Below are 14,705 nucleotides of genomic sequence, written 5' to 3'. Positions count from 1 at the left end.
CTGGTAACATTTCTTCTTAAACTATTCTAAACAATTGAAAAGGAGGGACTCCTCCCTAATTCATTTTATGAGGTCACCATCATAATGATACCAAAACCTCGCAAAGACACAACCGCAACAAAAATTTCAGGCCAATATCCCTCATGAACATCGATGTAAAAATCCTCAATAAAATACTGGCAAACTGAAACCAGCAGCACATCGAAAATGTTATCCACCATGATCACGTCAGCTTCATCCCTGGGATTCAAGGCTGGTTCAACGTATGCAAATTAATAAATGTAATCCATCACATAAACAGAACCAATGACAGAAACCACAGGATTTTCTCAATAGATGCACAAAAGGCCTTAGATTAAATTTAATATCCCTTCATGTTAAAAGCTCTAAATAAACTACGTATTGACGGAAAAAGTCTCGAAATAATCAGAGCTGTTTATGACAAACCCCTAGCCAATATCATACTTAATAGGCAAGTGCCGGAAGCATTCCCTTTGAAAACCAGCACAAGACAAGGATGTCCTCCCTCAGCACTCCTATTCAAGATAGTATTGGAAGTTCTGGCCAGGGTAATCAGGCAAGTGAAAGAAATAAAGGGTATGCAAATAGGAAGAGAGGAAGTCATATTGGTACCAAAACAGATATATAGACAGAGGGAACAGAACAGAGACCTCAGATTGCAGGGATATGGAGGAAGCTGGAAGCCATCATTCTCAGCAAACTAACAGGAACAGAAAACCAAACACCACATGTTCTCACTCATAAGTGAAATTTGAACAATGAAAACACATGGACACAGGGAGGGGAACATCACACATCAGGGCTTGTCAGGGGGCAAAGTGAAGGAGAGCACTAGGACAAATATCTAATATATGTGGGGCTTAAAACCTAGCTGACAGTTTGATAGATGCAGCAAACCACCATGGCAAATATAAAACTATGTAACAAGTCTGCACATTCTGCACATGTATCCCAGAACTTAAAGTATAAATAAATAAATAAATCTCCAGCAAGGAAGGAAACCAGAGATCAGGTTGGAGTCTTGCTATTCACATCTGAGTATACAGACTCACTCCCCAACTCTCTTATTTTTATTCTGCCAGCTCTGACCTGAATATGAACATAACAAACACACAAGAGTTCCAACACCTGACAATCGGCTTCTGCCCAAGAAGTGTGCCCTCTCTTTTGTCCATCCTGCAACTCATGGTACAAAGAAGTGGTGTGGGGCTGCCCAGATGAGATGATGAGAGAGGCCTGGCCTCGATGGACATGTCCTGGGCTGCTCTGTGTTATCTGTAGGTGCACTTGGCCAATGGCCAGGGGTATCAGGAATGAGGGCTGAGTTGATATCTGTGTTATCAGAGAAGGCTTTTACATTGAGGCTTTGTAAGGCTAGAACTCAGAAATATCAAGGCACAATGAAAGGACATCTCACTCTCTTGAGCATCTCTCACCAACAGAGGTGGATACAGAGCTGTCTCAAGAATGTGGGTTCCTGGTTTCTTAACTGCTGTGGGGTTCTGTCACCAGGAAAGTGTGTTAAACTCTTCAAGGTTCCATCTACTGGGCCCCTTATTTCTATAAGACCTACCCAAAGGCCCCACTATGCTATTGATTGCTCAGTCTCCTCTTCCATGTCAACTCTTTATTTGTACACAATTATGCAAACACAACTTCCCCTTAATTCCCTGGAAAGACCTAAATGCATCCTGGGTTCCAGGATATAAGAGACAGCTGGAAAATAACCTTGTTTTTCTTACCATCTCTGGGACCTAATAAAAGTCACTGTGTATTTGAGGCTTCCCCAGCCTCCTAGCGTGCACAGTGGGGATAATGTTATCTACTTCCTAGGGAATGTATCAGATGTATATAAGATAAAATGTAAAAATCGTGGTGTAGTTTCACATGTAAATAATGCACACACTTAGAGATGGAAGCATTAGGAGAATAGGTGGGAGGTAGCATGGGCCACAACTCAGGTAGGCCTGGGGTCCAGCAGTGTAATCTTGGGAAAGTCACTTCCCCACTGGGCTTCAGTTTCATTCTGCTGCAGTACGAGGTTGAAATTAAATGTAGATATCATCCTCTGGCACTGATGTGGTTTAGCTGTGTGTCCCCACCCAAACCTCATTTTGTATTATAACCTCCAGGTGTTAAGGGAGAAACCTGAGGGGAGTTGATTGGATTATGGGGACGGGTTTTTCTTATGCTGTTCTTGTGATAGTGAGTGAGTTCTCAAGAGATCTGATGGTTTCATAAGCTTCTGGTGTATCCCCTGCTCTCACTCACTTCACTTGTTGGCCACCATAATTGGAAGGTTTCTGAGCCTCCCCCACCCAATCTTGTGGAACTGTGAGTCAATTAAACCTCTTTTCTTTATAAATTACCCAGTCCCAGGTATTCCATCATTGCGGTATAAAAATGGACTAATACAACTATTAAACTTTCTAGTGACTTCTTATTATATATAGAATTATATCCATGTGCCTTATCTCACCTAAGTTGGGGAAAGCCTTCACAAAGTCTCCCAGCACTAGGTGGTTAGTGACTCAGTTTGTTATTGAACAAAATGACCTACTGCTCGATGCCAGTAGTATGGCACTTGGGTTTTGAGAAAAATGGCATCTTGTTGTAGGTTGGCCAACAGGAGACAGGAGTCCAGCTGAAATCAGTTTCCTTATATAGGCTTTAAGGTGTTGATTAAAAAATGCTTAAGAAGTGGGCTCTGGATTAGGAGGGGATTGCTGGAAGGAAAGTAGTAATATGGAAAGTCATGAGACATGCACAGTCATCTCCTCTTGTTTCCTCACAGGTCACATGAATATTCAGGGAGTGTTAATATGAAACATGCAACGGAAATTTGGGCTCTAACATCAGCAAACTCATTCTCCATGGACTTCAGTTGGCCATATTGCTTCCAACATATTTCAGCCAATTTTTTAAAATCTTATAAGCAGAGGAGATTTAAGTGTTTCAACAAGCTGTTTCTTATCTTTCATTCTGAATATCCAATTTTTAAGTCTTTTTTTTTTAACAGTTTGAAGGCACAAATTCAGCTTCTGTCAAATGGAATACAGAATAGTGTATGACTTTTGTATTAGTTCAGGCTGCTATACCAAAGAACCATGAACTAGACAGCTTATAGACAACAGGATTTAATTTCTCACACTCCTAGAGGTTGGAAATTTGAGATCAGGGTATCAGCATGGTTGAGCTCTGGTGATGACTCTTCTGAATTTCAGACTGCACACATCAAATTTTATTCTCATTTGGTAGAAGGAGACAGACATCCCTCTGGGGTTTCCTGTGTAAAGCCAGTAATCTCAATCATGATGGCCTCAACCTCAGGAGTTAATTACAACCTATCTCCTTATAGCATTACACTGGGGGTTACAATTTTAATACAAATTATTGTAACTCTCAAGTTTTTTTAAAGCTGTCATTATTCCTCCTACTGGGTTTTTCCTATTTGCTTCCTCAGTCTTTCCATTTCTTTATGTCTCTTTGTGTGAAACTGTTTGCCTAATTCTGTCTCTCAATTGTATTCCTCAAACAGAGGAAGCAAGCTCCAATGCTATGAGATGCTCTATGTACAGACGCACATAACAAAGAACGGAGGGAGTGCTCAGGCAGTAGACAGAAGTAAAGTCATGCTCTCAGTCTACCCTGAACCCTGCCAATTTTCACAAGCATGAGCTTAAAGGTTGATGCTTTTCCGGTCCACATTCAGTTGAGACCACAGCCCCAATCTCATAAGAGACCTGAAGGCAGAGGCAGCTAACTAAACTGTGTCCAGATTCTGGTCCACACAAATTGTGAGATACTATATACTATTGAAAGGTGCTAAGTTTTAGGGCAATGTTGTCAGAAAGGAGCAGATATCTAGCCTCATCTCCCAAGCCCCAGGATTCTCCATGCCTCTGCTTATCTCTTCCTCAGGCTGTCTGTACCAAATTGGTCCCTTTCTAATCTCTGCCAAACTCACACCTGTAAGACTCTTCACCAAGGGTGGCTTCTCACTGACACATTCTTGTGCAGAGATGCCTCCCTGTTATCATTCTCATCATGGATTAAAGATCACCTCAGTGAGGACTTTGGGTCCCCCCATTCAATGACTTTGCAGCTCTTCTTCTCAACATTCTACTTTATATAATAGTCCTTGCTCTTTTCTTTTATATATACTTGCTTTAGTGCTTTTGTCGAGCTGACTTCAGACTGTTCTGTCCTTGGAGGGGTATGCAGGCATGATGTAATCATTTTCTGTGCCACATGTTGGACCCACCAGGGTAGCTGGCAAAGGGTGAGTGCAAGGGAAAAAAGATTGGCTAAGTGGGCAATGTGGAAATTGTTGATAATAACATGAGGTGTGTGACTCTTACTTGCTCCAGCTGCTCCAGCAAAGCTCAATAGGCACCAGAAACACAGCAGGCTGTAACCACCTCCAGGCCATCACTAACACTGCAGCCCCATGCAGGAACATTATGGAACAAATCAGGTACCATTGTTTTGTGTCCTCAAGACACTGACTCTTTGGAGTTCCAGAGGACAAAGGAGCAGAATCTGAAGGCTCCAAGTACACTGAGTGACCTTGGAATCCTCCATTGCCCTCTCTTTGCCTCCACCATTTGGAGTGTGCCATTTACTCATGAGGCACCCTCCCCTTATCCAGGGAAATTATTTAATACGACTTTCAAATGAGGAGCTCAAAAACCCAACAGGAACTGGCATTTTCCCATGACTTCAGACTCAGGGTCCAGTGTTCTGACACGTTTAGCTCTATCCCATCTTTATCTACCCAAAATGCCTCTGGAGTGGCCATGCCTCTCTCTGATTTGAAGGGCCTCCAGGGAGTAGAAGCATTTCTGCAGAGTTTCAGAGCAAAGAGTCTTAGTTCACCAATGAAGAATCAAGGCTGGCAGACACTTATGAGTATGTGAAACAATCAAGGTTACCCACTTCGAGCACCCCTATTTATGAGGAAGAAAACAGTCTTCTCTGTAGCCATTGTCTACATTAGGCTGAGGTGGAGCATAGCTCATTTTACTTCCAGCTCTCCACAGAAGTGGATACAGAACCCCAGTCCTGTCCTCTTGAAACCGACCTGGAGAGGACCCCATGTGAGACACAACCCTGGAACTGCTCATTCTCTGTGCCCCTGGATATGTATCTAGGGAAGCGGATGCCCTTGCCTTATGGCAGATCTGCCCGCCCAGCTATTCATTTGTAATACATGGCCTTTAATGCTTTGAAGTGAATTTACTTTACACCTAATTTGTTGAGAGTTTTTATCATAAAGCGATGTTCCTTTTTGGAAAAAAGTTTTATTCGTCTATTTAAATGTTATGCTTGATCCTGGGTCTGTCGTTCTGATCAGAAGCTGACAGGTGCATCCATTCCTAGAGGAGAGCATGAGAACATCAGTTCTCACATTCTGTGATCATGACCTGCTTATAATGTCCACTCTGAGTGTCTGACTCCCTGAAGTAAATTGTGGCCCAGGAACTGTCATCTGTTGTCTTCACTGAATTAGGCCAAGTGTCTGGAAAACTGCGTTATATATATGTGATGAATAAATAAGCCCTAACTACAACCTTTTTAGCTATGTCTGAGTGTGCCTGGGGACTCTTTCCTACAGGATCTCTCTGTTTCAAGGACAAAGTCCAGCTAACAGGAAGCTCAAGTGCCCTTTACAAATGTAAGAACATGTTTGTTTTCTATATGATTGTCTAATTATAGAGGGACATGAGTCACTGTGACATGAAAGACCTTCTGGGGTGAAAGAAGAGAAAAAAGTAATAAATACGAACAATCAGAGCATGCCCCAGCAGGCTTTCCACAAAGCCGAGCATTAGGAAACCACTTTTCATATTGTATGCCATTCATTTCTCACAAAAAACATATAAGGTTGTGGGGGAAAGTTAAATATTAAATTTGAATTCAATTGAACATGGACAAAAGCAATGGTCATTAAGTCTCAGACAGGTTGCATGAGCCGCTTGAAGCATTCATCTGGCACTGTTTTGGAGAAATATCTATTTCAATCTATTCCTATGTGTTAGTTATTGAAAAACCACAGACAATTGCAAAAACAAGATAACCTTTTCAAGTTCCTTGAGCCCAGTTGTGAAGAGCCCTCGTGACTGGGCCTCATGCCAAACAACTCATTACAAAAAGAACTAGGGCTCTAGGCCACGCTGAAACTTCCTAAGACCTCTTCTTGTCTGTGCAGGGATGGGTGACCTACTCTGGAGTCGAGGCTGTTGCTTCCCGGTCTGGTAATGAATCCTCCGCAGTCTGGTGGGCGTAAATATGTATATATGTTTCCCTTCTCCCCTTCCCATTGCAATTTGCTTATTATAGCTGCACTGCCATTTACGTCAGATAAAGCTTGTTTACCCTTAAAGGTTTTTTTGGGTGTGTTTTCTTCTCCCCTTGCATGTCTCTCGTACAGAACAGAGGTTCATTTTACAATTCTCTATAAAGATGCAAATTGAGGCTGATAAAGATGCACTGGTATGCTAAGACACAGTTAGTAGCTGGCAGAGTCACCACTGTGCCTTGGAGAAGACATATGCTCAACTACTAGACAGCTGGTCCAGGAACTACAGAGTGGTGAGGAAGTCCTGGTAAAACTTGAGAAAAATGATAAAAAGAAGAGAGTTTGACCCTGGAAGGCTGCTGTCAGGGACTTCGTCAGCTTCTCCGTTGTGCCTGGTTTGGCGCATTGGCATCATTCACACCTCTAGGTTAAGAATAGACTCATTTCCTCTTGGGGAGGGGACAAGACTTTTCATGGCAAGACCATGAAACACCAGAGGCTTGGAATGTGGAGCTTGGATGAGGAAATCTCCATCCTTCAGAGACTTGGGCATGTGGAGGACATGGGTGTTTATGGTGAAAAAGGTTTTAGGCCTCTGATATCAAATTTAATGTGGAGGTAGAGAATAATTAATCCATGAATACAGTCAAGGCCTTCACGATATCATATCAGCTGTAAGACAACAGCACCCACTTGTATTAATAATCTTTATGAAGAGCATTATCCCAGAGAATTCCCAAAAAAACATACTCAGCCTACAAATGAGAAAATAAAGCTTTGTGATGTCAAATGGCTGCTCAGAAAAACACAAGTAAGAAAGAGAATCTTCCACGGTGGGGGTTGCATGAAATTCCCTTTAAGCTACCTGAGGCTCTATGTCTGTCCCTGACTTAGGGGGAAGGGCATGGGGAAGGCTCACTTTCTTTCTGTTTTAGAGACAGGGCACAGGATAAGATACCCTAAGACAACCCTTTTGACTTAAAGCAACTGAACTGGGTCTTTTAAAACCTTAAAGGGAGTGTTGAGAAATAACTACAGCAACCCCACACCTGACAAAGGTGTCAGTGCTTGGGGACTCCAAGGTGAGAGAAACCCCTCACAGGGCCAAGGAATTGAGCGGATTAACTGAGGGAACAGAAAACTCAAATAAGTATAAATCAACTGAAAGGTAACTCAAATATATCAGTTGAAAAATTGAAATAGAAACATGTTTTTTTGCCACATAGATAGCAGATTGACAAAAAAATTAAAAGAATGTTGACAACCAAGAGGTTCTGGATACATAAAAGCAGATAAATTCAGAAACTACTATTTACAGTACGGCTTTCACAACCCTTTTGGAATATATTCCGGCTTCTCCTATTAAACCTTTACACTTTCCTACTGTTTCACTGAGTAATCATTTTCCTGGGAGACTATAATCTACAAGGGATTAGTAAATGTTGTGAGCTAGATTGCATTCCCTTCCTAAAAATTATATGTTCATGTCCTAACACCTAGTGCCTCAGAACATGACTATATTTGAACATATAGCCTCTGCAAATGTAGTTAGGTTTAAGTGAATTAATTGGGGTGTATCCTAATTCCAGATGACTGGAGCCCTTATTAGAAGAGGCAGGAAGGACAGAAAAGCACAAGAGAAGATCTTGTGAACACAGATATAGTAGATGACGATCTACAAGCCAAGGATGGAGACCTCAGAGAAACCACACAGCCAGTAGCTTGAGGTTGGATTTCTAACTTCCAGAATTGTGCGACATTCAGTTTTTGTTGTTAAAGAACTTCAGCCTGTGGTACTGTATTAGGGAAGTCATAGCAAAGCGTTACAGCCTATTAGGACACAGATAAGATGTTCCCTGTAGCGGCTGGGCGCGGTGGCTTACACCTGTAATCCTAGCACTTTGGGAGGCCGAGGCGAGTGGATCACGAGGTCAGGAGATCGAGACCATCCTAGCTAACACGGTGAAACTCTGTCTCTACTAAAAAAAAAACCACACACACACAGAGAAAAAAAATTAGCCGGGCGTGGTGACAGGCGCCTGTAGTCCCAGCTACTCAGGAGGCTGAAGCAGGAAGATGGCGTGAACCCAGGAGGCAGAGTGCAGTGAGCCGAGACTGCACCACTGCACTCCCACCTGGGCGACAGAGCGAGACTCCGTCTCAAAAAAAAAAAAAAAAAAAAAAAGATATTCCCTGTAGCATGGCTGAAGTGGAAATAGAATTTATTATGTCAGGCTCCACCAGTATTAAAAGCCTAAATTACTGAGGGAAAGGCCCCACTTATGGAATCTTATAAAGACATATGAGGACACAGCTCCTGTCCTGATGGGGCTATAGAGGTGGGCTCTGGGACACATATGTAAAGAGTCATATAAGACCCTTTTGCATAACTCCCACTTTTTGGGTGAAACCTCTCTCTAGTAACAGTGTGAACTTCTAAGACTTAGAGAAGGTCTGGCAAGGCAGCGAAGCTGCCTGCTCCAGGAAGTATGTGGGGTAGGTAGATATAACAATAAAAATAATAGCAAAATGCAAAGATACTCACAACTTAATGTAAAGTAATAACAACACAAAAGTGTTTCTTTTGACATTCCTGCAAGCATATGACCAGGGACTGTGCACCTAAGTTGCCATTATGGACTAATGGAGGCCAAATTCCTCTGGGAAGGAACTGTGGGTCCTTAATGGAGAAAGCCCTAAAACGGTTTCTGGGGAATCCTCACATTTGGGTCAGGGTCCTGGGCTTCCCTGGTCTTTTCCATTTGGAGACCTCTCTGTGCCCACCTTGACTCCAGACTAGCACGGGCCATGGTTGTTGGCATGATGCACCTGCCTTTTGTTCAATGAGATGGAGTAGTTGGACTCATCAAACAGCTCCTCAGGGATCTCCTCAATAGAGTTCTGCAAAGAGAGTGCCTGGAAGCCTGGCCAAGAGGCATCAATGGCATCCTGGCTTTCCCCACAGGGGAAATTCCAGTTAGAAAGTCTACTCCCCAGATCAGGCACATAGGAGCATTTGCGCAGACCTCCAGCCAGGGAGAAAACAAGAGGACAGCTTGAAGCCTTAGAATAAATGTCTGAACAAACAAAGGTGACCCCCAGCACTCACCTTCCCCTCCTGCCAACTGTAACCTGCGGTATAAATTTGACAGGCTTTTAGCCTCCCAATACCTGGAAACCTGCTCCTGCCAAGAAAGGACCCATTATCTCTTTCTTTCCCACGAGACGTGGAGATGAGGAGGGGTGTGTGCCTGCCGAGATGATATCAAAGGTGAGGCCTGGCCTGGATAGGCCTGCCATGGGTGGCCTTGTGTTATCTATGGGTAACCCTTTCCAAATGGCCAGAAGAGCCAGCAGTGCAGAATGAGCACTGTCTCCATCATAAAAAAAAGTCTCTCTGTTCAAGCCTTCCTGAGATGAGAGCCTCAGAAATTCAAGACATAGCAGGAGAACATCTTGCTGTCTTCAGAGTCTCCTTAGTAAATACAAAGCTGTCTCTAGAATTAGGGCTCCAGGTTACCAGAGTTCTAAACTTTCTTTGAGTTTGTAACTAAGGAAGTGAGGTCACTTCGAGATTCCATCACCTGGGCTCCGGTGCGGGAAATGAACGAGGGGAAAAGAAAAGGCACCCACAATAGTTTTAAGGATAAATAGCCTTTATCCCAAGTGTATGGCAATACAGACTTGATAAGCAAATAATATAATAAGCAAATTGCAATGGGAAGGACAGAAAGAAAATATATATATGTATATTTATATACATATACATGTATATAAATATACATATATGTATATGTATATTTACACGCACCAGACTATGGAGGATTCATTACCAGACTGGGAAGCAACAGCCTGGGCTCCAGAGTCAGCCACGTGTCCATGCACAGATGAGGAGAGGTCTCATGAAACTTCAGCACAGTCTGGGACCCTAGCTCTTTTTGTAATGTGTTGTTTGGCATGAGGCGCAGTCACAGGTGCCCTTCACAACTGGGCTCAAGGAACACAAAAGATCAACTTGTTTTTGCAATTGTCTGTTGTTTTTTCAATAACTAATGTATAGGAATGGATTGAAAGATTTCTCTGAAACAGCGCTGGATGAACACCTCAAGGGGTTCATGCAACCTGTTCCAGGACTTCGTGACCATTGTTTGTGCCCATGTTCAATTGAGTTCATATTAAATATTTAACTTTTCCTCCACATTAGATTCCCAATTCTCAGAACCATGTCCACTGCCACAGGGCCTGGCTGGGAATATTGTCACTCATAGAGTTTAGAAGATGGAATGCTGGTCAGTGATGATGCTAGGGTGTTAGGTGAAGGCAGCCGGGACAGTCCCTCTAGGTTGAGGGAGGAGCTGGCCTCTCTTGTGGGGTCCTTGGCATGTCATTGCCGCTTTGGGCCTCTGTTTTCTTATGTGGAAAATGTAGGAATGATGAGCCTGTTGGGCAGGCCTCACAAGGTGGTGATGGGGCTCAGGGAGACAGAGAATCTGAGGGTGCTTGTGTCTGGCTCATCCTGAGAGGGAAGATGGTGACAGCAATCATGACAACCACATGAAACCGAGGTGGTAAGAGGCCTTGTGAGGTGGTTGGTTCCCACCACACTTTCCAGTTGAGGAAACAGCTCAGGGAAACCCGACTGCATGCCCAAAATGACACATCCAGGGAGTGTTGGACCTGGGAGTGAGTCTAGAGTCAGAGCTTACTGGAGATGGTCAGAGCATTGGACAAGCTGACTCAGGCCACTTATCCGTGTCCAAGGTTAGTGTGGCTGAGGCGTAACTGAAAGAAGCATATTTTCACTGACCTTGTCCCTCATCCTAGCAGGTGAACACCGTACAAGTTGTCTACCCTGTAGCGGAGCCTCAGAGAGCTTAGATGAGGCTGTGACAGCAGAAGGTGAATGTGTCTGTGATGGGGAAGGGCTCCAGGGTTTCAGAGAACAGAGCTTACTTCTCCCAGCTGGAAACCTCCAAATCAAAAAAGCAGAGGGCCTTTCTACTCCAGCCCTTTTCTCCTGGGGCTGCAGTGCCTAAAACACCTTCATTAGACAGACCAGAGCAAGGCCTGGGAGAGCTGGGCTCCGTGTGGCTTTTAAAACAGGTGGAGCCAGGGACCACATGACCTTGTGGCTTGTTAAAATCCCACCAAGGAGGTAATTATGGTGAGGTTGGTGGCAATAGAGGCCAGCTAATGGGAAGACATAGAGAATTGGGAAAAGGCAGCTGAGGGTTCTCAGCTACTCCAAGTGGGTAACCTAGGTAGAGGGCGCCAGGAGGCAGGGGTTTATAAGAGTTCAGCGGACAGGACTTGGGTGGGCACCTCCCAAGTCATGCCCTCTCTGGGGACATTCCTCACTGATGTGGTGATGCTGGACATTGCCATGAAGGAGTGTGTGGATGTGAGTGAGCCTGGAGAAGACAGGTCAGGGACCAGGATCCTGAGGCCTGGGAGAAGAGAGTCTTGAACTGAGCTCCTAGATCTCAGTCCTTGCCAAAATTTTTTGCGAGGGCCTCGCAGCCCTCCCCATCCCGTAAACAGGGTATTTTACTCATGAGTGATGGAGGCTCCACAGCAGCCATCAGTCCCACTCCCTGAGTAGTGAAGCTGCAGAGCTGCAAGACCTCTTTTGTGCACATTCCCTGACCCTGGTGGCTCTGGTAGTGGTGAAGCTTGGAAATCGCTGGAAATGGAGGCTAGTTATGGACCAGCGGACCTTTCTGATGGTCTTTGGCTTTCTGTCTTCCAGAGAAATGTGATCAAAACCCAGAAAAACAGAAAGGTGAGCAGTAGCTGAAGTCCTCACTTTGAGGGAGGGTGGAGGTGGAAATGAGAAATCACCCTGGGCAGGACATTCCCTGGTCCCTTCTTCCGCATCTAAGATTTATTGAAAGGGAGTAATACACAGAGAAGGAGGAGACCTATCCTAATGCAGGGTGCAATCAGGGGAGTGAAGTTGATGACAACTTCCTAGAGGAAGGGCCGTTTACATTCAACTCTGAGAACCAGTTAGGGCTGCATGATATTGGAGGGGAGGTGAGAGCCCCTTAAAAGAAACACCTCAGAGACCAGCCCTCCTCCCTTCTTTTATAAGGCCCCTACAGAGTCTTTCACCCAGGCCCTGTCAGCATCCTGTCTTTCCCTCTGTTTCCAGAAGATTAAAGTCCTCCAGGAGATGCAGCAGTTCCACACAGCTGGAAACCATCATCATCTTCAGACTCAAGAGGAATTTCGGGCTTTGTTCCAAGCCTGGAGCAGCACAATCAGAATAAAAGGCAAAGACCTAGCAGATGAGCAGAGGGTAGGAGGGGAGACTGTCTTGCCGCCAGCCTCACACAGCGTGTGGCCATGGTTCCCTGGCCGGCATCAGGTCCTGTTGCACCTGGACTCCAGCTGCTGGGGAGGAACTGGGGGACCTGAGGTGTGGCTTCTGGAACCTCACAGCTGTCACTCTTCTCTGAAGTTGCTAGCCATGAAGAACAGGCTGTGATAAAATCTCAGAGCCATTAAGTGCCTGTTGTTGGAATTGCTTTCATGGCTCATTGAAGTTTGTACTAAGCATGGGCTCTGGCAGTCAGGCAGCTCAAGTAGGGTTCCAGCCACACCATTGACCAGCCCTGCGAGTGGGGCAGAAAGCTCACTACTCTGGCACTTGAGGCATCACGTCGTAAATTTAATGCAACCAATCCCTTTTTCACTGTTACCTACCTTTCTCTATAAACACCATGACCTGATCTCTGCTAGCATTTTTCTTAAAATGGATAAACATATGTTATATAGTATATATTATTCTTCCTCATGATTTTTTTGCTATATTGTCTCTTTCCACTCATATGAGATATTTACAGCAGTTAAGTTCATAGAAACACGAAGTAGAAGAGTAGTTTCCAGGGACTACACAAAGGGCAATGGAAGGGGAGTGTTGTTTACTGGGTACAGAGTTTCACTTTTAAAAGATTGAAAAACAGTTCCTTATGAACTTGGACAATGGTTGCAAAACAATGTGAATGTATTTAATTTCTTTAAACTGCACACAAAAAAAATAATAAAATGGTTAATTTCATGTATTTTTATATTTTACTAAAAGGTAAAAACTACTTTCTAAAATGAACAGACTATAGCTATTTGCAACTGGTGGGTGAATATCACAAATGTAATGTTGCATAAAAGAAAGCAGACATGCCAGTTTGGGCAACATAGTGAAACCCTGTCTCTACCAAAAATACAAAACAATTAGCCGGGCATGGTGGTGCAAGGCTGCGGTCCCAGTGACTCAAAAGGCTGAAGTGGAAGGATATCTTAAGCCTGGTAGGCAGAGGTTGCAGTGAGATCATGCCACTGCACACCAACCTGGGGAAAAGAAAGAAAGAAAAAAGAAGAGAGAAAGAAAGAAGGAAAGAAAGAGAGAAAGAAAGAAGACAGAAAAGGAAAGAAAGAAAGAAAACAGAAAAGGAAATAAAGAAAACAGATGTACAAGTATACATACTATATAATTTTGTTTATATAAAATGCTACAATCAAATAAAACTGAGGTTCTGACTTCCACTAAGTGTGGACTAGCTTGTTGAACTCTCACAAATAACAATGATGAAACTTGAATAAAATATATTATTATAGAAAAACGCCTATGCATAATACATATATGATATGTGTGTTTAACAACTGAATGAAGATTTCAGCTATACCCACTGTAGCGGACATAAGCATTGGTTTGACACTAGCCCAATGAACCCTGTTTATAAAACAAAAGTCTTCAAGGTAAAACAGCAAAATCCAGAGTTTCTATTCTATAATTATCATTTATAGTTTCTAGTGCACAATTTTAAAATTCATAAGACTTGTAAAGAAACGTGAAAATGTCATCCATACACAATATCAAAAGCAGGCAGTAGAAGCTATCCCAGGATGTTGCAATCAGCAGACAAGAATTTGAAGGCAGTTTTTATGAATATGTTCATGGGGAAAAAAGAAAATATTCTATTCATAAACAAACAGATGTGGAACTTCAGCAGAGAAATGAACATATATATAAAAAAATTATAGATAAGGAAATGAAAAAAATCTTTTGAGTTTAGCCATAGATTTAAAACAGAAGACACAGCAATAGAAATTATCCAGTCTGGAAAAAAAAAAGTACAAAAAGTTTAAAGGAAATGAACAGAACTCTCGAGACCTGTGGAATGACTGAGTCTAAGGAGAAGGGAGAGACAAAAAATAATTAAATAGGGAACAGAAGTAAATCAACAACTAATAGCGGAATACTTCCAAAAACTGTCCAAATACCTAAATATTTATATCCAAAAGGTCAATAAATACAAAACAAAATACAAATAAAACCACAGCAAGGCCATATCGTGGTTTATGAAACAGGCAAGGCAGGGCT

This window comes from Homo sapiens, chromosome 21 (genome assembly GCF_000001405.40).
Source record: "Homo sapiens chromosome 21, GRCh38.p14 Primary Assembly".
NCBI classification, from domain to species: Eukaryota; Metazoa; Chordata; class Mammalia; order Primates; family Hominidae; genus Homo; species Homo sapiens.
This window is presented reverse-complemented; position numbering follows the sequence as displayed.